This window comes from Homo sapiens, chromosome 6 (assembly GCF_000001405.40).
Source record: "Homo sapiens chromosome 6, GRCh38.p14 Primary Assembly".
Lineage (NCBI taxonomy): Eukaryota > Metazoa > Chordata > Mammalia > Primates > Hominidae > Homo > Homo sapiens.
Genome location: NC_000006.12, coordinates 33,855,604 through 33,880,887, shown reverse-complemented (window position 1 = coordinate 33,880,887; position 25,284 = coordinate 33,855,604). Strand labels below are relative to the sequence as shown.

Sequence of the window (25,284 nt, the reverse complement as noted above, 5' to 3'; positions counted from 1 at the left end):
ACTGAGAACTTTTTAAAAGAGGCAAAGGTAGAGGAGAATAAAGGAAGGAGGAAGTAACTTGTGTAATGCTGAGAAAGGTAAAAACACCTTCAAATAAGGAAGAGGAACAGGCTATGACCTAATGCTTGCTTGGACCAGTATAAGCAACCCAGGACAAATATTTAGGCTAAATTGTGGGAGCTAAGAACATAAAGTATATTGATTTCTTTATTACGGCTAGCAGATATTTAAGAATGTTAGCACAGGTCTTTGAATAAATTTTGCTTCTAAGAGAAGTTACTATTTATTCCTAATTAGACGGGGAGGAAAGTGTTTGATAGAGGAACCTTTACTTTTTACAGGGACCCAGACGGGTCTGCAGCGACAGGCTCACAAAGAGGGCCCATCTGCTGTCCAGAAGAGACATGCTTGTCTCAGCTCGACAAAGCAGTTCCATTGCCACGCTCTCACTGCTGGAGCTCCCCGCCCATCCTCCACCCAGTGGAATTTGGGGTGATCCGAGCAAATCTCTCATTTTTGCAAAATTCCATCAGGCATTTAACCAAAGGCAGATTCAGGCTGAGGGTAGGGGAGAGTGAGGGTAGGGGAGAGGGTAGGGGAGAGAGGGTAGGGGAGAGGGTAGGAGAGGGTAGGGGCACACAAAAGAGGGCAGCTTCCTTGTCTTTAATGTCATGCGCCTCCCTGTGAAGAGACCACCAAACAGGCTTTGTGTGAGCAATAAAGCTTTTTAATCACCTGGGTGCAGTTGGGCTGAGTCCGAAAAGAGTCAGCAAAGGATGATGGGATTTTCATTAGTTCTTCTAGGTTTGGAATAGGTGGTGGAGTTAGGAGCAATTTTTTGTGGGCAGGGGGTGGATCTTACAAAGTATATTCTCAAGGGTGGGGAGAATATTACCAAGCACCTTCCTAAGGGTCGGGGAGTATATTACAAAGTACCTTCTCAAGGGTGGGGAGGGTGTATTGTCACAAAGTCAATTGATCAGTTAGGGTGGGGCAGGAACAAATCACAGTGGTGGAATGTCATCAGTTAAGGCGGTAACAGGCTATTTTCACTTCTTTTGTGGATCTTCAGTTGCTTCAGGCCATCTGGATGTATACGTGCAAATCACAGGGCATATGATGATGGCTTAACTTGGGCTCAGAGGCCTGACATTTAACTTGCCTTCCTCCCTCGAAACATTTCCTTGTTTTGACTTCTAGCTCTAGGTACCTGCTCACAGAGCCCCTGCCCTCAACACTGTGGTCTTTCCACTCAAGGAAGCCTCAGTTGGCTTTTTGTGGGGTGGTAAGACATTGCTTGGTCATGATGTGAAATGCAATGAGACACCACCTTAATTCGGACTCAACGCCATCTGGTAGCCTGGTACTTTCACACACATAACCTGGGAAGAGGTTAGCAAATTGCATGTCAGGAAATGCATGTTCTTATCTTTGTGGCATGAGAAGAAGAAGGAGGCAAGTCCTGGGTCCTAGTTTCAACTCTGCCGTCACTGAGTGGATAAGCAGTTACTTCATGACTCCAACCTTTGGTTTTCTCCAGGGCTGGACTCAAGGCCACTCCCAGAGTCTTTTCTGTGGCTCTGACTTCGGAGGCTTTAAGAGCACTGGGGACCCATTCATCACATTTCAAGTCAACTCCGTGAAGAATCATTTAGTCAGAATTATCCCAGGAGGCTCAGCTCGCCCCCTGAGCAGGTTTCCCAGCAGCACTCCGGCTGGGCCCATTGCACATGCCAGCCCAGAGGACTCATGGTTAATGTCCGGGCGAGAGAAGCTCGGGACGCTTATGGTTGGCAGATTAGCGTTGGGAGGCATGGCAGTGTTGATCAAAGGACAACCTTGGGCTGGGCTCAAAGTGGGAGCAATTGGGAGAAATAATTAGGCAGAGTCAGAAAGAAATGTAAATACACCTGGACCTGCCTCTCCTGTTCACCAGAGTCCTACAGCTGACGCCTGCACATATCTATGACCAGGAGCTAAGTCCCCCATTCACGCTCCTGACCAACATCTGCCTCCTGGGATGGAGTGGGCCCTCCTCCACACACTGGCATCCATTAGGCACACCTTTACACGCTGTACCCCACCCTCTCAGTGTGAGATGTCCTCAAGGTCACCTGATCCAGCAGCCTTGAAAGGAGGCCTCTTCACATGGCATTGTTCCAAACCCCAGCACCTGCAGGCTCATTTTCTCTCAACACTTAATTCCTGGTGGGTATGGTTTAAAGCTACTCAGAGCTCCAGGACAGTGTGTCTGGCCAGCAAGGGGCCAGGAAGCCAGCCTTCCCCTTCCTTATGCCGTGGCCTGCCCTCATTTCCCATATCCCCACTGCTCCCTAGCCCCTCCTTCCCAGGCCTGGCTTCAGCAGCCCATTTGGGCCCTCTTGCCCTCACCCCACCCCACACCCATCAACTGCAAGAGAAGCTTATTGGACATGAACGGTGTCAACACAGAGATGAACAGGACTAAAATTCTTGGGAGAAGAGCTCACGGGAGCTGATGCTTGATCTGGGTCAAAGGAGTAGATAGGAAGGGGGGGTGGGTTCCACTTATTGGCTCAGCCAAGGTGCAGTCTGCCTAGGAACCCTCCCAGAGAGCTGTGGTGGGGGTGGACTCATTAAAGTAGACCGCAGGGGAGCACCCCACCCTGGCCAGGGAACAGACGCAGCTCAAGTTAGCATAGTGCAGTGGCCAGCCTGCCGTGGACGGGTGTAAGGGCTGATCAGATGAGGGAACAATTGATTGTGCCTGACAAGGCCAGGCAAGGCTTCGTGAAGCTGGGCTCTGGCCCAAGTGAGGCCTGGATAGACAGGTCAGTGCAAAGCTGGAAAGGAGCAGAGCCAGCAACTGTTTTTGATGTACAGATGACTGTGCCACTCCCCAGCAGCCCCTTCTTTATTCTGGGTACCTGGACGTCACCATGACAACCAAGCCTCCCTCAGCCTGTGGTGTGGGCTGGGGGCCCACTGAGCTCAGGGTGGGGACCCCCAAGAGGTGGTAGCAGCAGACCTGGGGGAGAGGCAGGAGAAGGGAGGGTTAGAGAGGGCAAGCTGGCTCTGCAGGGGTGGTGGGGCTGGGTGGCTGGGGAGGCTGGAAGAGCAACCCTCTGGTGTGGGGCAGGGAAGTAGGACTGAGAAACACCCACGAGAGCAAGCGAGTTATGGGGCTCTCCTCCCAACCACTCCCCACTTTCAGCACTTGTGTGATGTCATTCTAGGAACACCACCATCACCAGCATGGAGAGCAGCCGGGACCCCATGGGCAGGTCCCTAACCTGGTCCTGGTAGTTGGATTCCACCTCTGGAAGTGAGCATATCTCTCTCTCCTTTGCTTCTGCAAGGAAGGCACAGTCCCAAGCCTTTTCCAGCAGTCCCCAAATTTCACTGACTGCCCCATCCTGACCTTCCTAGCTGTCCTCTACCCTACTGCAGCTTCCACTGCATGCGTGTGCATGCAGTGGTCAGGGCCTCCTGAAGGCAGTTCTGAGGAATGGCTCTGGACAGAAGAGGGAAGGGTACTACATGACTCAATGTGTCCCTGAGCTGTGGCCAGCAGCGGATTGGGGAGGGGGTCTGTCCTGGCCCACCCATGCTTCTCCGTGAAGGTGGCCTTCAGCCTTGCAGTCTGGATTCCTCCCCACTGGAGGGAATAGATTAGGGAATGGTGCATGATGATGGAAGCCGTGTCTGCAGCTGAAAGTCACTTAGGAGAGGGCCCTGCTGTCTGGGTCTCTGTAGCAGGTATAGGGTCAGCGGAAGAGCTCACCTTCCCAGGCACAGACCCAGGTGGTGTATGGTTCCTGCTTTCCAGCCCCATCAGCCTCCCTGGCCATGTGCTTGAAGAGGTGCTTTCCTCTGACAGGTGAAAGACCAGGTGGGTTGCTCCATTAGGGTCCTGCTGGGATGGAGTGTCCTCAGGTCAGACAGACCCAGTGTTGCCTTGTTCAGCAAAAGCGCCAAGATGCCATTTCATCCTGTGCATGGGAACAAGAGTGCCCATTCATTCCTCAGGCTTTCTGAGTCTCTACTCCTACCTGTCACCACTTTCTCCCCTACTTTCTCACCCATCCCAACCCTACCCTGCAGTGGGGAAGTTGTCCTGGCAATTAACTTTCCATTCTTCTACTGGGGCCCTTCAAGTAACGTTTGGAGCTTTTCCCTAAATCCCAGCTTGGATAAATGATCCCCTCACATGTCCCCAAATTCTTGTTTGGTTTCTGAAGTTGGTCAGATGCTGCTTTCTGGACCCCAGGTGTGGGAAGATGCATCCACCTCCTGCCTCTATCATTTCAAGCTTGTTTTCCCAGGGCTTGCCCTGAAGGTATCTGAGATTGCAGGGAAAGATTTCTGCATAGGGAAGGGTCTGCCAGGGGAAGCAATGCAGGATGCTGAGGGCAGGCGGACGTTGGAGCAGAGGGCCTCCCCTCCTGGCGCACCAGATTCTCTCTCCACTCAGGACTGCAGCTGCTGCCTCAGCCATTTATTACTCACCTCTTCCTTTTCTTTCCAGTGATCTTTTTAGCTTCAATGCCCAATGCTAATCACTCATGCTCTGAGTACTTCCCAGATCAACCTTCTGAGAAGCAGAACCCATTTGCCCTGTGTCGTTTCTTCATCCCAGACCACATCTCAGGTTGACGTGCCTTGATGGGCTGCCCTTAGGTCAGCTGGGACCAGGCACAGACAGAGACCTGGGGGTCTCCCGGTGGGACAGAGCAGCTATCTTTAGAAGGAGCCATGTGCCTGGCAAATCAGCAAATGGCATGTCTATTACATTTTCATTAACTTGACAGACACCTGTTGAGCTCCCTCATCACATGGCAAGCACTGTTCTAGGCCCTGGGTAAACCACAGAGGCAAGGACAGGCCCAACAGTGTCCTCCGCTGTGCTTTCCCCAGAGCACAGCCCTTTGGAGTCTAGTGGACTCTTCTCTAAGAAATAGGAGATGGTAGGCCTGGCAGAGCTGGATGACCTCACCCAGCCGCTGCCAGATAAGGAGACAGATGCACAGAGAGGAGGTGTGACAGAGCTCGGTGAGCGTGCAGGCAACAGGGGCTTCATGTCTGTGATGCTGGGGCCGGCCTCTGTCTGTTTTCATTTCAGGGAAGTGTCCCTCAGGCTTCTTCCTCTAGTTGGAGAAAGAGAAGCCCTGATCTCTTGATTCTGCAATTCTTCTGCCCTTGCATCTTCCTCCAACCCACTCTCCCTAGCCCTCTTGGATGGCACCCAGCCTTGGCTGACACTGGTGGGTGTGGTGGGGAGGGTGCTTCAGAACTAGGGCCCAGGGAACCCCACCTGCCAGCTGAGAAACCCAGGGCCAGCCCTCGGCCCTCTGGGAAGCCAGATGGGCTGTCTACCTGACGGTTCAGCCTCCTCCGCTGTCAGCTGTGGGGCCATTTCTGTCACCACATGCTGATAACTGAGTTTTCAACTCTTGTGGGAGGTTCCCTAAAACAGGACACCCTCTTGCATGGATTTGTATGAAAGACAGCTGTGCTGGAGGCATAGGCTTCTAGAAGTTCCTTAGCTCAGAGGGATGTGAGCAGAAGTGCTTTCAAGCGAATCCACTCACTTTATTTTAAGTCCCACATTCCGGGTTTGGCTTCAGCCCAGCAAGTTCCCTCCAACTTGCTGCTGCTTGTGCTTCCATTACAATTCTTCCTGCTTTCTGTGCTCAGCTCCCCAAAGCTGCCTCTGCCCTCACCGTGCTGCAGGGCTGTCCCTTGTCCCCCCAGCACCTCCTGTCCTCCTCACCAGCCTAGACCAGCCAACCCCACTGGCCTCCAGGGTGGGCCAGCAAAGGGAGATGGAGAAAGAATGAGATCCCCTGAAAGCCCAGTCAGCAACGTGGAGACTCAGGTCTGTGTTTCTAACCAGGACTGCAGATCAACCTCACAGGAAACTCTTTTAAAATAAAATACACACACACACACACACACACACACACACACACACTCACATGCCCACACATACACACGTGGGCCACCCCTCAGAGATTTAGATCAGTGGCCCATGTTGCGTCTATCTGTTCTAATTGGTGGATGGGGGGAGAAAAGAGAAAGCCCCCTCTCAGCATACAAATGGCAAAAAAAAAAAAAAAAACACACACACACACACACACAAAAAAAGAGGTGCAGAGAGAAATTGCATTAGGCAACAGTTGCCTGTAATTGTTACCAAACTTTTGGAAAACAAGAAACAACAAAGAAATAAAAGCAGTAGATAATTAAGTACATAATTGTACACACCACTTGTTAATTAAGCTTTTACTCCTAAAACCTGACAGAATCTGCTTACAAGGTGATAACGTGCAGGAACGTGGCATATGGTGAGCCATCTGCAATACAAACGCTTTGTCGATGAAAACTTCCCTGCCCCACAAAAAGAAGGAGATGCTAAATGTAGTTTTCCAGAGCAGAGTGATGTATCTTCATTCCGTGCAGAAAATGAGTTGACGGTACAGTGTGCAGATGAAAGAATGTCAGGAAGGGCCACGCGGCACCCTCTGTCCTCGCTGCGGCTCTGCGTGTTTGGTTTGTGGCCCATGCTAGGGGTTCTGAGAATCGCTCGGTTGGTGTATCTGGTGCCCGAGAGCAGTGTCTTAAGAACAAATGAAAAGCAACACTTCTCTTAAATGCTCCTGTTCTGGGTGTGCAGGGAGCTGAAAAAGACCTATGAAGGTCTTGAGAAAAGTGGGTTGAGGAGCAACGACGGTCCCCGTTTCTCAACTGTAGCCCACTACCCTCTATCCCACCACTGGAGCTGTGGTCTCCAAGCCTCCTAACCTCTTCAAACCTTCCTCGGCTGTAAAATGGAGATAAAGTACTTACCTTGTCAATTGTCCTGGGCTGATGGCAAGCCCTGGTGAGATTGTTCCTGGATCAAACTGAGGGTCGGGCTGCTATTTCTCATGGCCCAATAACGAGATGCAGGTGAACTGGGGAGGAAGAAGTTTTTATTTCTGTAACCGGTTTTAGGTAGAAGGCCTGGAAATTATTGCCAGACCAACTCAAAATTACAAAGTTTTTCAGAGCTTGTATATCTTCTAAGCTATATGGCTATGTATAAGTGCGCATTCTTCTAAAGACATAAGTGATTAACTTCTTTTAATCTATAACTAAGGTCTGAGTCCTGAAGGCCTTCTTCTGGAGCCTTAGTAAATTTACTTAATGTAAATGGGTCCAGGTGCTGGGGTGATTACCCTTATCTTGTCTCCTGCTAAATCACGGAGGTTTGGGGAGTTCCTTCAGATCCCCAACAAACTTGTCTGTGGTGGCCTAGGGAGTTTCTTCAGAACCCCAGTAACGCTTGTTTAATCCTAAATGGGTCCTATTAAGAATTCCCATGTCATGCTTTAAGACCCAGGAAAGGCCACGGCAAAACTCTTGATGGGCTTTTTGTTTCATTCCAGCCTTTGTATAAGGGCACTGACTTTTTTATCTTTTAATATTTCACCACGCAGTCAGTACTCAAACAGTTGTGATGGAGGCCAGTGTTAGTGAAACCTGGTCTGCCACAAGATGATGTAAAAAGCGTATGTCCGGTGTGAGATTTTACATATGTAGGGAATTATTGTTACTAATAATAAGCCCTTGAACCCTGAGTGAGCATACCTTTACTTCAGCTTGATCTTTGACTTGCACCCAGAGCTACACAGCAGGCAGGTCCAGGGCGACAGTCTCGATCCTTGATCTTCCTGGGCTCCCGGGGTCACTGAGGAGGGCTGATCTTTGGGAGATGTGGGAGGATGGAGCACTGGTGCAATGGAAAGGGGCCCTGGGCTCCCACGGTGCCTGCGTCTCCTTCATTCTGAGGGCCTTCCTAGTTCTGCTGCTTGTGTTCTAAGAGGTCTGACAAAGCAGCCCTGCAGAAACTGTGGCAGCTGCAAGAGGGGAGGGCCACCTGGGGGTTGGGGCTTTGGGGCCCTGTGGGCAGGCTGGCCTCCTGGAGATAGCTAGCTCGGAAAGCAGTGGGGCTGGGGAGGCCCTGCCTGCGGCCACCCCAGTCTCCGGGCCTCTGAGTCTCTGCCTTGCCTCTGTGACTCTGCTTCTCCCTCCACCTGCTTCTTCCAGGTCTTCTGAAGGAGGAGGCGTCTGGCCACGCCTGTTAAGAACACATCCTCCCCAGCCCCCACCTGTGGGCCTTGGCCCCTGCCTACCCCAAGAGGGCTGCCTTTGGTCTCACACTCATCCTCATCCCCATCAGTGGGGACACACACTCCAAAGCACAGTGATCCATGTGCATGGGAGCACTCCCACCCTCCTCTTGCCCTGTGGACCTCCTTGTTCAAAACTGTCCTCTGCTCAGACTCAGGCCAGGACCCCAGCTTTTTGCTTCCTGGATCCAAAAGGGGGGACCCCTGCACCTCTGCTGGGGGGCATCCATCATATTCATTGATGATTTTTTTCTCAAGTATTCCATAAAATCCCTTGCCGGGCTGTGGAGACAGGGCTGCGTTGCTCCTGAGCGCCTCACCTCCACCCCTACCTGCCTCTCCTGCGGGGCCCACTGCTCTGTGCTCCGTGGAAGGGCCCACTGTCCCTGGCCTGCTACTGCCCTGGCCCTTCCTTCAGTGATTAATGCTCCTACAGGACGCCTTGGGAAGCCTCCATAGCACCAAGCCTGCTCTTGTCACAAGAGAGGAGCACAGTGCAGACACAGTGTCTACTCCCTGGAAGGCAGGGCCATGTCCTGGTGGTCAGACCCACCAGGTGGATTGAACAGAACAGAGCATAGTCCCGAGGATCTGCATGGGCCTTCCTATGGGCAGGGCATCTGAAGAGGGAGCATCTCGTTTCTTCCTCTCCACAGCCCTGGAGGGAGGCGAGGGGGAAGGGAGCAGCAGGGCTATTGGGGGATGGGCACGGGCAGCCCTGGGTCCCAGGCTGGGATGTGTCTGCACATTGGCACCACTCCCTCAACCAGGGCGCTTTCTCCCTGGAAGTGTGGGTAACAGTGTACACCCCAGAACAGGCAGAGGGAGTGCTCTTGATACTCTATACTTCACACTTCTATGGGTTTCTTAGTCTCCACATCTTGTAAACAAAGGAAACTAGGTCTGCACAATCCCCAACATCATCACAGAAACAGATTCTAAAGCTGGAAGGAATCAGAGATGATGAGGTCCACTCCCCCTCATTTTACAGAAGGAAAACCTGGTCCCCAGGGCAAGAGTGATTTGCTGAATGTCATCAAGGCAATGGGAGGCGTTCCTGCCTTGGGGCCACACTCCTGCTGCTCCAGAACCCCAGTATAGAATAGCAATAGCAGGATGCCTGGTGCAATGAACACCAGACAGGTGGAGAAGATGGCTTCAGCAAGGAAGTAGAAATGGAAGAAAAGCCAATTTCTGGCCACAGCTGGGAAGGCGATGTACTAGGGCAGAACAAGAGGGTCTCCAGGCATGGACAAATGGCTGCTGTATTTCTAAGAACAGAAGCCTTTTTCTGTTGCTAGGGGCGAGAGCTCCTTTTGGGCAAGCTCTTACATGGAATAAAAAGGGTAGAATTAGGGCTTGATGTGGGCTGGGCGGTGAGAAGCAGGCGGGGGGTGGTGGTGTGGCTGAGAGAAGAGCCTGAAGGGAGGCTCAGGTTCTGGCTCAGGCTCCAGAAGGTGGTCCCTGGCCCTGAAGAATGACTGAGCAGAGCCATTGGGGGGCCCCAAAGCCCCGTGCTCAGCTCTAGGCTGGGCAGGGTTTGCAGGGAGTGTCCATCTCAAGGCTCTGCCCAGCTGTGGGGGTGGCATTGAATCAGCACAGATCTTGGGCCGAAGCACCTGGGACGTTCCCAGGAGGCCCCAAGGGCCCCACAAACCCCTCAGAGGGGAGGGGAGGGAGCATACTTGCTCCAGAACTTGGAGCCTCTTGGCTGAAGGGGCTGGAGGAGAGGAGCCCCTGGTACAGGCTTTCAAGTGAGGGGAGGGGCTGGAGAGGGGAAGGAAAGTGATGTGGGAGGAGGGGTGGGGGCAGCATTCTGGGAAGGTGTCCCCACGCAAGGGAGTGGAGGGACAGACACGCATGGCCATGTTCTTGCTCCAGGCCTGGGACCCTCTCCTCACCTTCCAACTCAACTCCTGCAGTTTCAGCCGTCCTCCACAGAGGAGAGGCTGCCTAGTGAAGGCCTGAGTTGGCCAGCAGCAGCACAGAAGTTCCACTGGCCCGTCCACCCTCACCCACACCCCATACTGGGGGAAGCGCAGTTCCCCAGGGCCATCTCACCAGCTAGCCCGGCACTACTGGGAGGTGCAGACAACCTGCCAGTATCCCCATTTTGAATAGACAGCAGAAGTATTTGGGGCTCACACCCACAACTGCTGCCACTGATGCAGTGGGGGGCTCATCCAACAGAGAGCTGGCCCTCGCCCGTGAGCACTAGGGAGTCAGGTCCCTCTCCCCAGCAGAAGGATATGAGGACATTCTCTATGGAGCACCTGCTTGCTGCTCTGGGCCACCTGCCAGGCCCTCTGCCCCTACCCCAAACTCCTCCTCTTGCACTGTCCCAGGGGTCCCTCCAACCCAGGCCTTGATGAGTGGGGAGCTCTGTCCCTAGCAGGACCCCCTGGCCATCCTGCAGCTTTCTCCCTGCACAGGGAAGCACAGGTAGGAGCCGAGGGCCACGTCCAAGAGCTGCTCAGCTGCCAGCCCTTCTCAGCTTCCCGCGACTCCCACCTCCAGGTAGTTTCTTTCTCAGGCCGGTTCTAACACAGAGAAACACGCTGGCAGGCCTGCGGCTCCTCCTGAGCCCCGCAGCTGGCCACAGCCCACCTGCCCTCTGTTCTCTCTCCCTCCCACTGTCCCACTGTGGCCTCCCTACCCCTCTCCTTCCTCTCCCCTCTCCCTTTCCCTCTGCTGCGGGAGAGCAGCACAACCTTTGCATTCCAGGCTGCATGCAGGCTCATTCATCCCACGGTCCCTCTTCAAGCTATGGGGCTTCTGCAGGAATTCCTGTTGGGTCTTTGAGCCCACAGGCCCTCCTCGCTGGTAGCTGCACAGAGTAGAAATGCTGGCCTGGTAGGAAGGATGGGAGGAGACCTGGAACAGGAGTGAAGCAGATGAGGTTGAAATAATGCAACCGTTAGAAGAAACTTCTTGAGTAAATTTGGAGATTAAAAACATTCTCCAGCATAGCCAATGTACTCACTCGAACCCTGGATGGCAGAGATTAATGAACTATGGGATGGAAAGTTAACCTCCAAAGATCTCGCTCAGGAATAATATAAATTTGTTGTCCTGGGTATAGTAATCAAATGGACAGCTAGCGCTATAGTACAAATACTTGTATCTTTTCTTTGGCGGAAGGAACAACATTTGAAAAAAAGGAGCTTATACATTTCCCTCTTTTCTCTTCATACATAAAGAAAAAAGCATTTGATGCCTTTGTTAGGCCTTTTAAAGCAATGCGCACAGGGCAGGACCATCCCATCCCCCGCTGCTTTAATCAATTCTGTGTCTGCTCTCCTTGTTTGACTCCAATCTTAAATCTTCGGGCATCTTCAGGAAAAATTCCCACAAAGGGATCCAGGAGATCATCCCATCCACCCACTACCTGGATTGGCCTCCCAGCCCCATCCCCAGCAAAGGAGCAGTCATCTTGTGCTCAAAAGATTCATTTACCCCTAATCCTCTCCTCACCCAGACTGCTGGACGCCTGTCTTGGGCTAGGAGGACAGGCTCTTCATCCACTTATTCACTCATTCATTCATTTGTCCATCCCACAGTGCAGAACTGGGAGGCACCCAGCGTTCAGCACATTAGCACTGAGGAGCCATGGGTTCTGGACATTCCCAGAGTCCCAATTGAATAAAATTTCATTGTTTTAAAGTGAAGGTTGATGTTTCAATAAATCCTTTAACGGGATTTTAAGCCTTTCTGTGAGTGAATCCACAGTCTACACGTTCTGATTTCTGCTTCTGCTGCATGGTAGCTAAGGAAGAGCCTGTGGCTGTGTGAATGGAAAGGCACCGATGGCTCATGGTCATGGGTGGTGCCAGCTGGGATCCCCACAGGAATCAGCCTTGGTAAAGGGGAACCTAAATGGCTGGCAGCTCAGAAGAACCTGGGCCTAGGGGCATTGTCCAATGGCTGTAGCCTCATGAGAGACCAATTTCTAAACTCAAAATACCAACTATGTCTTGTTTATTATTTTTATTTTTTGAGACAGAGTTTCACTCTGTGACCCAGGCTGCAGTGCAGTGGTGTAATCATAGCTCACTGCAGCTTGTATTTTTTGTGGAGATAGGGTCTCCTGTGTTTCCCAGGCTGGTTTTGAACTCCTGGCCTCAAGTGATCCCCCAACTGCAGCCTGGGATTACATGTGTGAGCCACCATGCACGGCCCCAGTTATTTACTTACCCTGAGAAATATAACTGTCATGGGGACCAGAACCCTCATCAGTGCATTCTCCCTGTAGATTATGGATGGGGGAAGGCGAATCCTAAGTGGAAGCTCAGGGCAGAAGTCAGATTGGACAGAGAGGTGTTTGGAGTTGCACTTGTATAGCTCTTCATTGAGAAGAATGTTGACATTAAACACAACAGCTGTGGAGGATCTTTGGCAACCAGGCAGAGAGAGGCCTGTGGCCACAGTGGGACTGTCTGCCCTTCTTTCTGACTCCAAGCAGCTGAAATCTTCTTATGTGTGGGGACGCTTCCCCACGCTCTATTAAACAGAAAGCCTGCCTCCTTTTACAGAAATGCAAAATCCCAGACACTCACTTTTTCTTTTTTCTTTTCTTTTCCTTTTTTTTTTTTTTTTTGAGACAGAGTCTCTCTCTGTCACTCAGGCTGGAGTGCAGTGGCGCGATCTCGGCTCACTGCAATCTCTGCCGCCCAGGTTCAAGCGATTCTTCTGCCTCAGCCTCCCGAGTAGCTGGGATTACAGGCACCTGTCACCACGCCTGGCTAATTTTTGTAGTTTTTTAGTAGTTACGGGATTTCACCATCTTGGCCAGGCTGGTCTTGAACTCCTGACCTCGTGATCCACCCACCTCGGCCTCCCAAAGTGCTGGGATTACAGGCATGAGCCACCGCGCCCATCCTGTACTCACTTTTTCATACTCCTTTGCAGGTTGGCTGTGATAGGTGTCCCTGGCCACGTCAGTGGAGCACCCAGGCCTCAAGCAGCATGCTGGGGAAGGGAAAACCCCCCATTCTGGTGATGGAGGTGGCCATGACCATGTCTGGTTTTCAAAGGCAGCTTTGTAAGAACAGAAACCAGCAGCTCCCCAACATCTGGCCCTATCTGCTGTGCAAACCACAGGGACCAGGACCTTTCCGGGGTGCCAGTGGCATCCTCTGGAACCAGCTTCTCAGTGGAATTTCAGATGCTATTCCTGGTCAATTGCCTTTGCTATGTGCTATCCTTTAATAAATTCTGTTTCTCCTCATATCCACCTGAGTCATTCTCTGTAACCTGCAAATAAGAACTCTGCCTGGTAGATGACCCTAGGCTCTGCCACTTGTCAGTTGTCCAGAGTCACACAGCTGGTGAGTGGGTAAGCCCAACTCCCTGGACTGCCCCACCTGCCCCACTGTCTACCCGAGGAGTCCTGGATGAAGCTGGTGAGTGCCACGCTGCCAGGTGTGGCAGCCAGAACAGGGATCTTGGAGTGAGTAGGCCAAAGGGTGAGTAAACTCTAAATGGGCTGAGAGCAAAAAGCATGTTTTTGGGGGGAAGAGATGTTCTACCAAGCCTGACTCTTTGGGCAAGGAGAGCTAGGAATGGTTTCAGGGCCAGGGACCCCAGCCTCTGGCTCTGAGCTGACAGCAATAAGGATCCCAAAAAATGAGCACTTAGCAGCAATTAATTGCTAAGATGCAAAGAAAAATTGTTTTGAATATTAAAATTATAGCTATAACACTATTAGGAGCGTGATTCAGAGTTTATGGAAACATTATTTATATTGATTTATTCCCAGAGCCATCAAGACTCCTTGAAAATAATTAATGTTGACATTTCCATTGCTGAAGCTAAATGTTGATATCATATAATGAAAATTATATGCTTGGGATGGGCTGTGCTCTAGAAAGCATTAAAACAAATACCAACATCTACAGATCCCTCCCTACCCCCATTACTAATGACCCAGTAACCAATGGGCAGGGCTCTGAGGCTCTTCACCTACAGGCCTCTAGCCCAGCATAGCCATCAGCCCATCTGAGGACTCTCAGAAGCAAGGGCCAGCACCCCAGGGTAAGCATGGGGCTCATCCAGGGCCATGAGCCAGGAGGTGGGCCAGGATCTAGACAGGAAGCCCCTTTGGCCAGATCCTGGTAGTGACTGAGCCACTGAATTGCTGCTGGCCTCAAGAACTGAGGGAAGGAGAAGGACAAGAGGAGGTGAGGGGAGTGATTTGGCTGTGACTCACTCAAAATCTCATCTTGAATTGTAATAATCCCCACATGTCAAGGGCGGGACCAGGTGGAGATAATTGGATCATGGGGGCAGTTTCCCCCATGCTGTTCTTGTGATAGTGAGTTCTCACAAGATGTGATGGTTTTATAAGGGGCTTCCCCCTTCCCTCACTCTCATTCTCTTTCCTGCCGCCATGTGAAGAAGGACGTGTTTGCTTCCCTTTCTGCCATGTTTGTAAGTTTCCTGAGGCTTTGCCAGCCATGCAAAACTGTGAGTCAATTAAACCTCTTTTCTTTATAAATTACTCAGTCTCAGATATGTCTTTATTAGCACCGTGAGAACAGACTAATACAAGGAGTGAGGAAGAGAGGAAGAATGAAGGGAGTGAGGTCCTCCTCCATGCTTTGGGAAATTCCCTACAATGTGCCTACAAAGCTGTGACCCTCAGGCTGGCAGCAGAATGCCAGTCTCCCCTTTTCTTGGGGCAGCCCATGGCCAATCAAGTCTTCATGGGCTGATGCCTTTATAAGAGCTAGTCGTCTCCACTCAGGGAGCTACACCCTCGCTACACTCTCTCATCCTCATCTCTGCACCTCACCTCTGCCCTTGTTCCTCCACCAAGCACACAGAACAGTTGGCTACTCATATTCACTCTTACAAAGCCCTAGGGAGGGGAGATGCTCAAAGATGATGACTTGAACAGCAAGATAAGAACCCATTCATTGGTGTGTAGTGAAATCAATTTCATGGGCTGTGACCAGCATTACAAAAAAAAAAAAGAGAGAGAGAGAGAAACAAGTAGAATATATCCAAGTGTATGAGTGTGTGACAAGCTGGGAGGAGTAAATTTCTATGAATCCTTGTTTAAGTTATGCGCATGGACATATGGGTCCTGTGTAATGTTTATTTTTCCTAACAGTCTGAAGGCTGTTTCTTGCTCTAGAGTTTTGTCTGGATTTTAACATTTCCATATCAATTTCTGAAGTAGCAGTGGTTGGTTTCGGGGGACAGAAATGGGTATGTTCAACCCTATTATCCCTGTTAATTTCTATTTTGATTCCAGATATGTTCCCAAGGACCAGGGATGGAGTGGTGTGGAGGGATGGAACCAGGTTAAACGACATATATATACACACACACACATTCACACCCCCCCCACACACACTCACACACATACTCCGTCTCACACACTCTCTCTCTCACACACACACTCATCCATACATTCACAACTGATGCATGATTTTTCTCAGCCCATTTCCCAGACTCACGGAAGAGGTGCCCTGTCTACTTGGCCCGCCATACTCAGCCCCTCGCAGGAGCGAGTGAGTGCAGGATCCAGCCGGCCACTCCAAGCACCAACACAGGAGCAAATTCCGTGTGAGGCCTGTGGCCAGACCAGGCGTGTCACCTCAAGGGGAATGCAGCAGCACCCAGGCAAGGATGCCCATGATCTCAAAGACCCAGAGCAGGTGTTAGTGTGCTAATTAGCTCTTTTAGTTCCACCATCCACAGCCTGATGGATGGCGGCATGTTACTAACTCAGTTGGCCCCTGGCCCCATTGCATGGTGTGGCTGGAGGGCAAAGGACCAGTGTGACAGCCTTTCTGAGTACCTGCAATCAGTGGGTCCCAAGCTCTTGTGCAGCATCCCAGAAGAATGAGGTCATGCTGACAGTTGAAGGGTGATGAGAGCAAAGAATTTTACTGAGTGACAGAATCAGCTCTCAGCGGAGAGGGGAGCTGGAGAGGGGATGGGAAAGGCAGGTTGTCTTCCCCGAAGTCAGCTTGTCTCTGTTCCAGAGTCAGGCTGTCTCTTCCCCGAAGTCAGGGTGTCTCTCTCTGAAGTCAAGTCGTCTCTTCCCTGAAGTCAGGCCGTCTCAGTCTCTACCAACTAAGTCTGGGGTCTTTACAGGCACAGGATCGGGGCAGGGCGGGCTGCAGGTAGTATTTGAAAGACAACGTTTGATTGGTAAAAAGGTATTATTAAAAAAAAAAGGCATTATTCAAAAAAAAAAACCAATCAGGAGAGAGCAGGCAAACAGGAGTAGAAGTTCTCACTCTGGGTCTCAGGTTTCAGGCTGTTTTTGGCTTGAATGTGGGGTTTCACCAGGGACCCACCCCTGTCTGCCTAGGATTTCTCTGCCTCTTGCCTCTATCACAACCACACTCACATACCCACACAGTCACACCCATACACCCACACATATACCCACACATTCACATACACACACATCACACATTCACACCCACCCACTCAAGCACACATTTGCACACAATCATCCACACACACTCATACACATATATCCTCTCTCACATATTCACCCACACTCACACCCACACACTCACCTACCCCCCACACACATTCACACCTACCCATTCACGCACACCCGCACACACACACAGACCAGCAGAGATTCAGAATCTGTGATTTGCCTACATGTTCTTCACGTGCATTTATTTTCCCTGCACAACCTCTGCAGGAAAGATTAGTCAAGAAAACAATCCAGGCACCTGGTTTTGTGCTCATTACAGCCCACAAACAAGATCATTCATAATAGACTTTCTCTGACCGGGGACTTCCATGGGCAGGAAGTGTAAAGCCAGCATCCCATGCTGCTGCTATAGAGTTAAGAAACCCCGTTGCCATCAAGGGTCGCCTGGAGGGCTTTGGGGTGGAGAGTGAGCCATCACTGGGTGATACTGCATGTGTGCATTCATTTTTTTCAACAGATTTGAAGCATCTACTGTGTCCCATGCACTGTGTTAATTTGGGGCCATTAGAGCCAGGCCCTGGCCTTGAGTTGCCTCCTGCAGTGGGAGACAGTAGCCAGGCGACCACGGCAGCACAGGGTCCTAAGTGTGGTTAGGGCTGGAGGCAGGTGCCAGCAGCTGTGGGTGCTCCGAGGAGGGGAGGGAGAGGGCAAGGGCATTCCTGGTAAGGGACCGCACATGACACGAAGGCCTGGAAGGCCTAGCATGGGGTAGGAGAGGGTACTTGGCTGACAGAGGCCTCAGGAGCCCACAGGAGGATGTAAGTCCACGGAGCCAGATGAAACCCTTGCAAGGACTGGGTGGCTCCTGGGCAGCATAGAAGGAGCGGGAGAAGGAGCTCCCCAGAGGGAGCAGCCGCTCCACTCTGCAGCTTTCAGAGATTAGTGGGGGGTTCTGGTGAGAACAGCTATCTGGGAGGTGCTCAGGCTTGTGGACAAGATGGCTGCCCTGAAGAAAGAGATTGCATAAATAAAGCGCCTCTCGGTGGGGGTGAGGCTGTGCAGGATGACACAGCAGGCTCCGTGAGGACCAGAGAAATCCACCAAGGGTCCCTCCTCAGAGTGTCTTAGGCCCTTCTCAGGTCTTCCTGTCCACAAGCCTACAGACCTGCCCTTCCTCCTCCACCTCCCCCCAGAATCCTTGTTAAAGCCATTAGGGGTGGGGGCAACGCAACAGGGGCAGCAGGCTGAGAGGGCAAAATGGGCAGGTTCTATGGAGACTGTTTGGCGTGAATGTGAAGACATAAGTTGCCTGAGGGGCCTCTTCCCTAGGATTCTGGGCCCCTCCCTTCACGGCCCTCCCACCCCCAGGCTGAAGGACTGGTCTAGACAGGAGGAATCCTACACAGTGGTCTCCGGGCATCCATGGTGAACACAGGTTCTTCCCCTCAACTTCTCCCCTCCGTCTTTTCCCTCTTCCCAAGAGCCCCTGCTCTCTTTGGGGGGATCCTGGACATCTGGGGAAACACTCACTACCCCCTGCGGTGGAACACATGACCTGGGCTAAGCCAATTGGTGCACCTGGACACCTGGCCCAGAGATGGAGCAGGAGTAGTCATGTGACCTGTATCTGTCCAATGAGAATGTGTCTTAGAACACTGGCTAGGAATGCCGGAATCAAGACTTGGTCCTACCCCACCAGGGAGCTCCCAGCCTGGTTGGTAAGGGTTGTGGGAAGGTGTAGCATTGAGAAGGCATTGAGAATTGAGAATTCTAAGCATTAGAGGAATGTGTACATGAGAAGCACTCCCTCTCACCTGGCTTGCTCTTTCCCTGCCTAATGTTTAATGAAGATGATAGTATTTATTGAACACCTAGTCTGTGTTAAGCCTGTGCTGAGCGTTCCATGTATTAACTCATATCTCCAACTTTATCACAGTCCCCGTGAGAGGCATGATAACAATCTTCATAGATGAGGACCCCAAGACACCAAGCAGAGAGGGAGTGGCTCCTCTCCTGGACCACCACCTTCCTGCATCCTCTTCACACTTCCAGTACCCCTGTCAGAACCTTCACAGTCTTAATATCAACAGGCTTCTTTATTTAAGATGCTGCTGTGGAAAATGTGCTCCTGGGAGTGGCCACAAGCCCAGTCTCCTCCCACCCCAACCTCCCCCAACTCTAGCACCATCTCTGCCCTGATCCTTCTAACCTGGCATCCATGTGACCTTAGGGAATGAGGCCAATGGAACCTGAAGCTAGTCCGGAGATTCTGTGGCCCCTTACTCCCTTAGGTCTCCTGGCAGCCTGTACCCATTCTAGTGCTCTTGAGAGGGCTCTGTGCTTGGCAGCAGACTGGAGCCTACCCCACAGGAAGCTGGCTCATTTCCACACAGGCACCACCACCTCCTGGTCCCTATGTGGACATCACACTTGCTCAGCTACATGCTGGGCTCTGCAGGGCTCCTGCTGCTGAGCATGAGGGCTCTTCTCTGTCCCTAATGGACTCACGTCTGCTTATATGTGGAGCAGCTGACCTGGGGCCCCTGCTTTTAACACTCTGCATCCCTAATCTGAATAGTGGTGCCACTGCCCTCCTCCCCCCTCCATCCAGAGCTGAATGCCGTACCCAACATCAGTCCCTTGGTGCTCCCAGCTCATGGATCTCTCAGGCCCCGGCTCGCCCTCAAGTCCTGCATACCCTGGGGATGTTGTCAGGAGTGGCAGGAAGGCAAGAGGGCAGATGCAACAGCTTGGCCCACCCAACCTGTCTTCCACCTGCAACAGTACTAAGACTTCCTTTACAGCTAGGGTTCCAGGTGTGATTTGGAGTCACCAATATACATGCACCTGCATGAGACTTGACTTTGGAGCTGAGTCATGTGAGGAAAGAGACAGGGTGTGGGGCACTCACTTTTCAGGTGTAGACAGTGGCAGAAGCAGCATGGTTTTGGAACCAGCAACGGTAGCAGCAACTTTTCGATTCAGCAGGTAGTTATCTGACTCAGCAGTTTCCTTACCGTGGCAGGCAGGATGTAATTCTGGAGCCAACAGCTGCAGGAAGCTTCTAGACTCTGCAGCTTCACGATTGCAGAAGAGGCAGCAGCTCTCTTGGCAACCCACTTCTGCATCAAGGCTTCAAGAATTGCTCCTGGAAGCCCAACCCAGAGTCTGTGTCATCAGCCCTTCTGACAATTCTGTGTAAACTAATACCCAGTAGTAAGTCCTTCCTGCTTAAACTAGCTACAGAGGAGTCTTCTCTATCCAATTAAATCCTGAACGACATCCTGTCTGCAGGTAGAAAGCCCATCTGCTTGTGAACTCTCCTAGCTGGAGCCCGGTGGGAACAGCTGCAGGGCTCCAGCATATATGCCCTTTGAGGAGTCTTACATTTCTATGGCTCTGGTCTTCAGAAGGTGTCTAGGGGAACAGCTGAGCACTGGCAACAGCCGTGAGGAAGTCTCTGCTGGGGAGGATGAAGCTGACTGGGCAGTGGCAGCAGGAGGGGCCCCCAGGCCAAGGGGAGGACAGATGAAGGTTGGGACTCTGCTGGGCAGGGTGGAAGGGGTTCTCAGATACAGGTGACAGAATCCCATGATTCTTGTTTAAGGAAAGGGCATTTATCAAGGGGTGTGGATGGCTCACAAAAGCACTAGAAGATCTGAATAAACGAACTAACTGAGCTTCCAGGAACAACTCCCAACAGCACACCCCAGAATGGGGCCGGCAAGCGGGCTGCTGCCTCTGCAGCCTCCGGAAGTTGCAGGATATAAAAGCGGCCTTCAGATGTCCGATGTCATGACTGGCTGTAGTAAAATGGACACCTCATGCCCTTCCTTCCTCCTCTCACAGCTCAGCTCCAAACCAAAGTCTCTTGTGTCAGGTTGGCAGAATCTCAACATGGTTGGAACCCAAGAACCCCAAGAAAGTCTGGGAAGTGTAGTTTTAGCTTTCCAGACTCCCAGGGCAGAAAGGGAAGCCCAGCTAGGGAGAGTAGGAATGGGAAGTGAGTGAGCCAGCACACCATACCCACCACACACCCCTTCCGCTGTCTGCACTCCTCGTCAGTCCTGCGGGGGCTCCAGGGTGGGGAGCAGGGTTGCAGGTTCGGCAGGCCCTGGCCCATGCCCCTCCATGTGGCTTGTGCAGCAGCCCTATGTGAGGTGGTCGTAGGATGAGGGCCCTACCAGCCCAGCTGCTGAACTACCACCCCTGCAACCACCTCCAAGTAGTTTAAGCAGAAAGGGAATTTATTCTAGGATACGTAGCAAGTCACAGAGTCACTGGGAGGGCCTGAGGCCCTTCAGCAGCTACACTATTAGGAATATCGTCTGAAATTACTGCAGGGCCAGATCACAGAGATCCCTCTGCCATGGGAGCAGGCCCCGGCATCCCATCTCACCGCCGTCACGGAGGCTTTGACACTGAAACCCCTGCCACGCCACTGTGCCTGCAGCCACCCTCGCCCCAGCAGCCTGCTCAGGGGCCCTTCTCTCGGGTCCCTTGGTGGAACGTGGCTCTGTGTCTCTGCCCTGGCCACAGCAGGGTCTGGGAAAGCAGCTGTTGGGATTCCACAGTGGGAAACAGGGACATATGGGGTGAGCAGGGGCTTCCTCCAACTTCTTAGGGTCTGAGTGGTCAAAGAGAATGACAAACATCCCCTCCAAAGCCTAGACCAGGTGAGGGTTAAACGAGAAACTGGAGTATGGCTGGGGTATGGCGGCCCTCTTGGGTATACTCTGCCCCTCCAGGACAGGCCCAGGGTGTGTCCTCCATCTTCCCAGCCCTCCTCTGCTCCCTGGTGCTAGCATACTGCCTGGCACCTCGTTGGTGTTGGCTAAATGTTTGGGAATTGAGCTGAACCGTCCACGTAGCTAATCTGCCTGGCTCCTGTCAACATGAGGGCGTTTGCCTGCAGTGGGGCCCAGCCTGTTTTCCACTCAGAAACGCTGTGGTGAGAAGATCTTGCCTGAGCAAGCTTCCCATTAACTGTCACCGTGAACTTAAAGACTGGAGTTGGTTCTGGTGACCGGGGAAGGAGAAATAATATAACACAAATAGCAGCTGCCATCCATTGGACACAGTAGAGCAGCCGCATGGACTGACTGGAGCCAGACTGCCTGAGCGTGCACCCCACCGCCTCCACCAGCTCAGCTCTGGGCAAAGGGCTCGGCCACCCTGTGCTTCCATTACCTCACACATCGAATGGGGATAGCAACAATGACAAAGTGGCAGTGAGTCCTATATGAGTTCATGCAAGAAAGGCCTTTGGAAGGAGGCCTGGCGTAGAGAGCAGGGTAGCACTTTAGTGGTGCCTTCCGGGGCAGTGCTGAGTGCTTGCATTAATACCTCTAAGCCTCACACCCGTCTGGGAGGTCAGCTCATTAGCATCTCTCCTTGAGGCTCAAAAAAGAGCAAGTCACTTACCTAAGGCCACCCAGTCAGTGAGTGGCAGAAGTGGGATTTGAACCCAGGTTTGTCTGACTCCAAATTCTTACCTCGAAGCCCAAGAAAGAGAAGGCATGCTCACACCATGCCCACTCCCCATGCACATCAATACCAGTGTGCCTCCCGCATGCCCGGCACCGCTGGGGCTTGGGGATTCCAAGGGGAAGGGGCCACAGGCCACAGGAGGCTGCCACGATCGGATATTAATAATCCAGGCTGGTTAATGTTGAGGCAGGAGTGGTCTAGGGTCCTGCTGGAGCCGAGCAGAGGGCTCTTAGCCTAGCCTGGGCACCCGGAATGGCTTCCTGGAGGGGATGACCTTGGGCAGAGCTCTTGTTTAAATTGATTTACTGGGGGTATGATTTATAAATAATAAAATGTACCCATTTTAAGTGAACAGTTGGATGAACTTTAACAAATGTGGATACCTGGGTACTCACCATGCCAGTCGAGATATAGAGCAATTCCATCTCCCCCAGAAAGTTCCCTCCGGAAAGTTCTCTCCCGCCCCTTTGCAGTCACTATCCCCCAACTCCCACCCCAGGCTACCACTGTGGGCTGAGCTTTAAAAGATGACTAGGCAGGGAGTGTCTCTGAACCTATTCTGGTTCAAGAGTTGCCAAAAAAATATGTATCAAAAAAAAATAAAAATAAAAGAGAGATGAGTAGGCTTCTTCCCCCTCATTCCCCATCCTTTTGGCTCCAGCTGGGGAAACGGATCCCAAACATCAGCCAAAAACTCCAGGCTGGCTGTGGGCCCTCAGCCAGAATGAGGGAAGCTGTTGGCTGCCCACTTCCTTCCTGGGCCTGACCTCTGACTCCTGCGGGCCCCGGTGCCCCCTCCACCCTAGCTCTGGGTCTCTGAGCTGCCAGCCTGCCCAGTGCCCACCAGTGCTCCAGGAAGACAGGGATGGTGCCCATAGAACCCGGTAGGGAAGTGGGAAGTGCTGAGTGAGTGGATTCAGGTGTGGAGGGGGCTGGGGAGGGCAGCCAGTCCTGATGCCCTGCTGAGTCAGCCTCTGGTCAGGGAAATACTAGGCACTTCTGCTGTATCCCTGCTCCCTACCACTAGGCCAGACCCCCTTCCCAGGCACCTTGGGGTGGGCGGCCTGGGGCAAGGTAAAGGGGTAGTCTCCGGTCTCTCAGCACCCCTTTGGAGACATTCTTGCACTTGGAGCAAGACGAGGGAACGGGCAGGAAGCCTCATTAGTGCCTAGAGCACTGGACTGGGGCTCCCTCATCTGCCACTGACTAGCATGAAGTTTGGAGCCAGCAACCTCCCCACTCCGGACCCCTTCAGCCACACATGGAGAAAGATCTCTAAAGTCCCTGCTAGCCCCAGAGGCGGAAAACCCTCCTTAACCTCAACCGTTCCCTCTGGAAGCCCATAAAGGCATCTAATCTGCAACCCTCCAGCTCGTTGCAAAATCCAATAGTTGGCTCTAGGCTGAGAACCCAGGCTGTGGAACCAAGACCCCATCCACCCTGGGCCAGCCAGAGAGGCAGTTTGACGTAGGGCAAGGCGCTGCTAATGGGCTGTTACAGATACTCAGTGTGCTGGCCAGATAGTTAATTACTCTGGAGGCCAGGGAGGGATGAATACTTCATAAAGCCAGAGCCACCCGTGAATTATTCATCCTCCATTTGTCATAAGGGGGAGAGTGATGGGGCAGCTCGGAGGATGCAGGTGCCCAGACTGGGGGGACGGGGAGCACGTGGTGCTGCCTCCCACTGCACATCCAGAGGGACTGGTTCCTCTCCCACCCCAGCCCTGGCCGGGCCCAGGGGGTCTTGGGCCAGCTGCCTGGGGGACTCTGGGCCCCTCCCTTGCCCTCTCTGGTCTTGGCAATGCATCTGGGCTAGGTGGCATGCTCTGACATGAGTGTTAAATACCTGTGGGGCATCTACCAGGACCCAGCCCAACATCAGGGGAGCCCAGGGGATACAGGGCTTGAGACCTCACCCTGCCACAGGAGCTAGCCACAAGCGTGATAAACTCAAACCAGACCACAGCAGGCAACCGCAGAGAGAGGCCTCAGTGGGGTGGAGAGGCGGATGTGGGCACTGCAGTGTGGCATGTGCCTGTCACCCCTGTCCCCAGCCCTCCCCATGCTCAGGGCTGCAGCAGGTAGGGAGGATGCCCCAGAGATCTCTCAGCCCCTTTCCCCACCCCGGCACTTGTCCATGGCTGCTCCAGGGCCCCCGAGGGCTTGCCAGAGCAGAGGAAAGTGCTGTGTCCTGAAAGCAAGTGCCACCCCTACCCCTGAGCTTCTCCCACTGCCTCCCCAGCCTCAGAACTACCTGAGGGGAGGTTCCACTGTAACCTCAGAGGCCGCTGTCAGCCATGGGTCCAGTTTATCCACCTAAACAACAACCTCCTTCCTTGTAGCCTTTTGATGGGAAGCAGGAGGCAGCTACACAGAAGAGGGCAGCCCACTCTGTACCTGCATGGGGCCCTGGGCTCACGCCAGCTCTTCCTGCGGGTTTCTGGTCTGGTCAGAGAGCTGCAGGTGGGAGTCACTCTTGGAGAGGCCCAGACCCCATCTGCACCAGCTGGGCAGCCCTGAAGCCAACCTTCCTCTCTGGAGATGGTCTCTCTGGACCCGAGGTCCAAGCTCAGCCCAGGGAGCGCTCTGAAGCCTAGGCCTATTCAGATCCTCCCCAGCCAGTGGACCTTGGCCCACTCCAGAGGAATGCATCCTCACAGCACAGAGCCTTGTGTCACTGGACCTGGCACCTCAGGGCTGCGCTGGACAGAAGGGAGTTGGGGAGACCAGGAAGAACTGAGCTCAGGGTGCAGTCTGGGGCCAGGGAGGGAGGGGAGGTTGTTTGGGGAACTCTTACTGCTTCCTTCCTTCCCGGCTGGACTACCATTTCCCTTTCACACCTTCCTCAGACAGTACTAGCAACCTTCCTTTACAGGAACTGAGATCTGGAGGGGAGGACTCAGCTGGGGGCAGGCAGGGACCCACCCTCGGGCCTCCTTTCTGGGGTTTCATTCCCTTCTCCACCACTCCCCTCCCTGCCCTCACCTGGAAAATGGACATTTTGGGCCTGGTGACCTCTAGGGCCCCTTCCTGATTCCCCTGGGGCTTTCTCCCTGTGGGTGAGCTGTATCCTCTCAGGCCCCCGTGTGGATTCCATTTGGTGTCTACCCAGCTTTGCTAACTCAGGTAGGATTTCAGCGTCTCTGAGCCCGTTCATACCTTGGACAACAGGGTAACACCCCTGCTGACCTTGGTTCCTGTGCGCAGGTTAGATGTTATCAAAGATGGGAAT

General features: G+C 52.7%; 1 long non-coding RNA gene across 5 annotated transcripts, besides 3 other annotated features; it reads right to left on the bottom strand.

Annotated features, from left to right (window-relative positions):
* Nucleotides 1–709: 709 nt before the first annotated feature.
* On the bottom strand, nucleotides 710–24,686 carry LOC105375027 (uncharacterized). 5 transcript variants are annotated; one of them, XR_007059554.1, is made up of 5 exons: nucleotides 24,450–24,685; nucleotides 10,865–11,027; nucleotides 7,612–7,726; nucleotides 6,829–6,935; nucleotides 6,250–6,598 (listed from the first exon to the last, which is right to left on the bottom strand). It is a non-coding gene; the product is annotated as an uncharacterized LOC105375027 (long non-coding RNA). The 5 variants fall into 5 exon arrangements; XR_002956341.2 differs by lacking the exons at nucleotides 6,250–6,598; nucleotides 24,450–24,685 and adding exons at nucleotides 710–3,007; nucleotides 3,764–3,971 and having other exon boundaries at nucleotides 7,612–15,529; XR_007059555.1 differs by lacking the exon at nucleotides 7,612–7,726 and having other exon boundaries at nucleotides 24,450–24,686.
* Nucleotides 1,785–2,285: an enhancer, noted in NCBI's record as "H3K4me1 hESC enhancer chr6:33846380-33846880 (GRCh37/hg19 assembly coordinates)". NCBI's record gives its function as "activates a minimal SCP1, AML or CMV promoter by ChIP-STARR-seq in primed H9 embryonic stem cells {active_cell/tissue: H9 hESC(primed)}" and the evidence as "EXISTENCE:reporter gene assay evidence [ECO:0000049][PMID:30033119]".
* Nucleotides 17,407–17,907: an enhancer, noted in NCBI's record as "H3K4me1 hESC enhancer chr6:33830758-33831258 (GRCh37/hg19 assembly coordinates)". NCBI's record gives its function as "activates a minimal SCP1, AML or CMV promoter by ChIP-STARR-seq in naive H9 embryonic stem cells {active_cell/tissue: H9 hESC(naive)}" and the evidence as "EXISTENCE:reporter gene assay evidence [ECO:0000049][PMID:30033119]".
* Nucleotides 19,711–19,760: an enhancer, noted in NCBI's record as "active region_24370". NCBI's record gives its function as "activates an Ori minimal core promoter by ATAC-STARR-seq in GM12878 lymphoblastoid cells {active_cell/tissue: GM12878}" and the evidence as "EXISTENCE:reporter gene assay evidence [ECO:0000049][PMID:35858748]".
* Nucleotides 24,687–25,284: the final 598 nt, after the last annotated feature.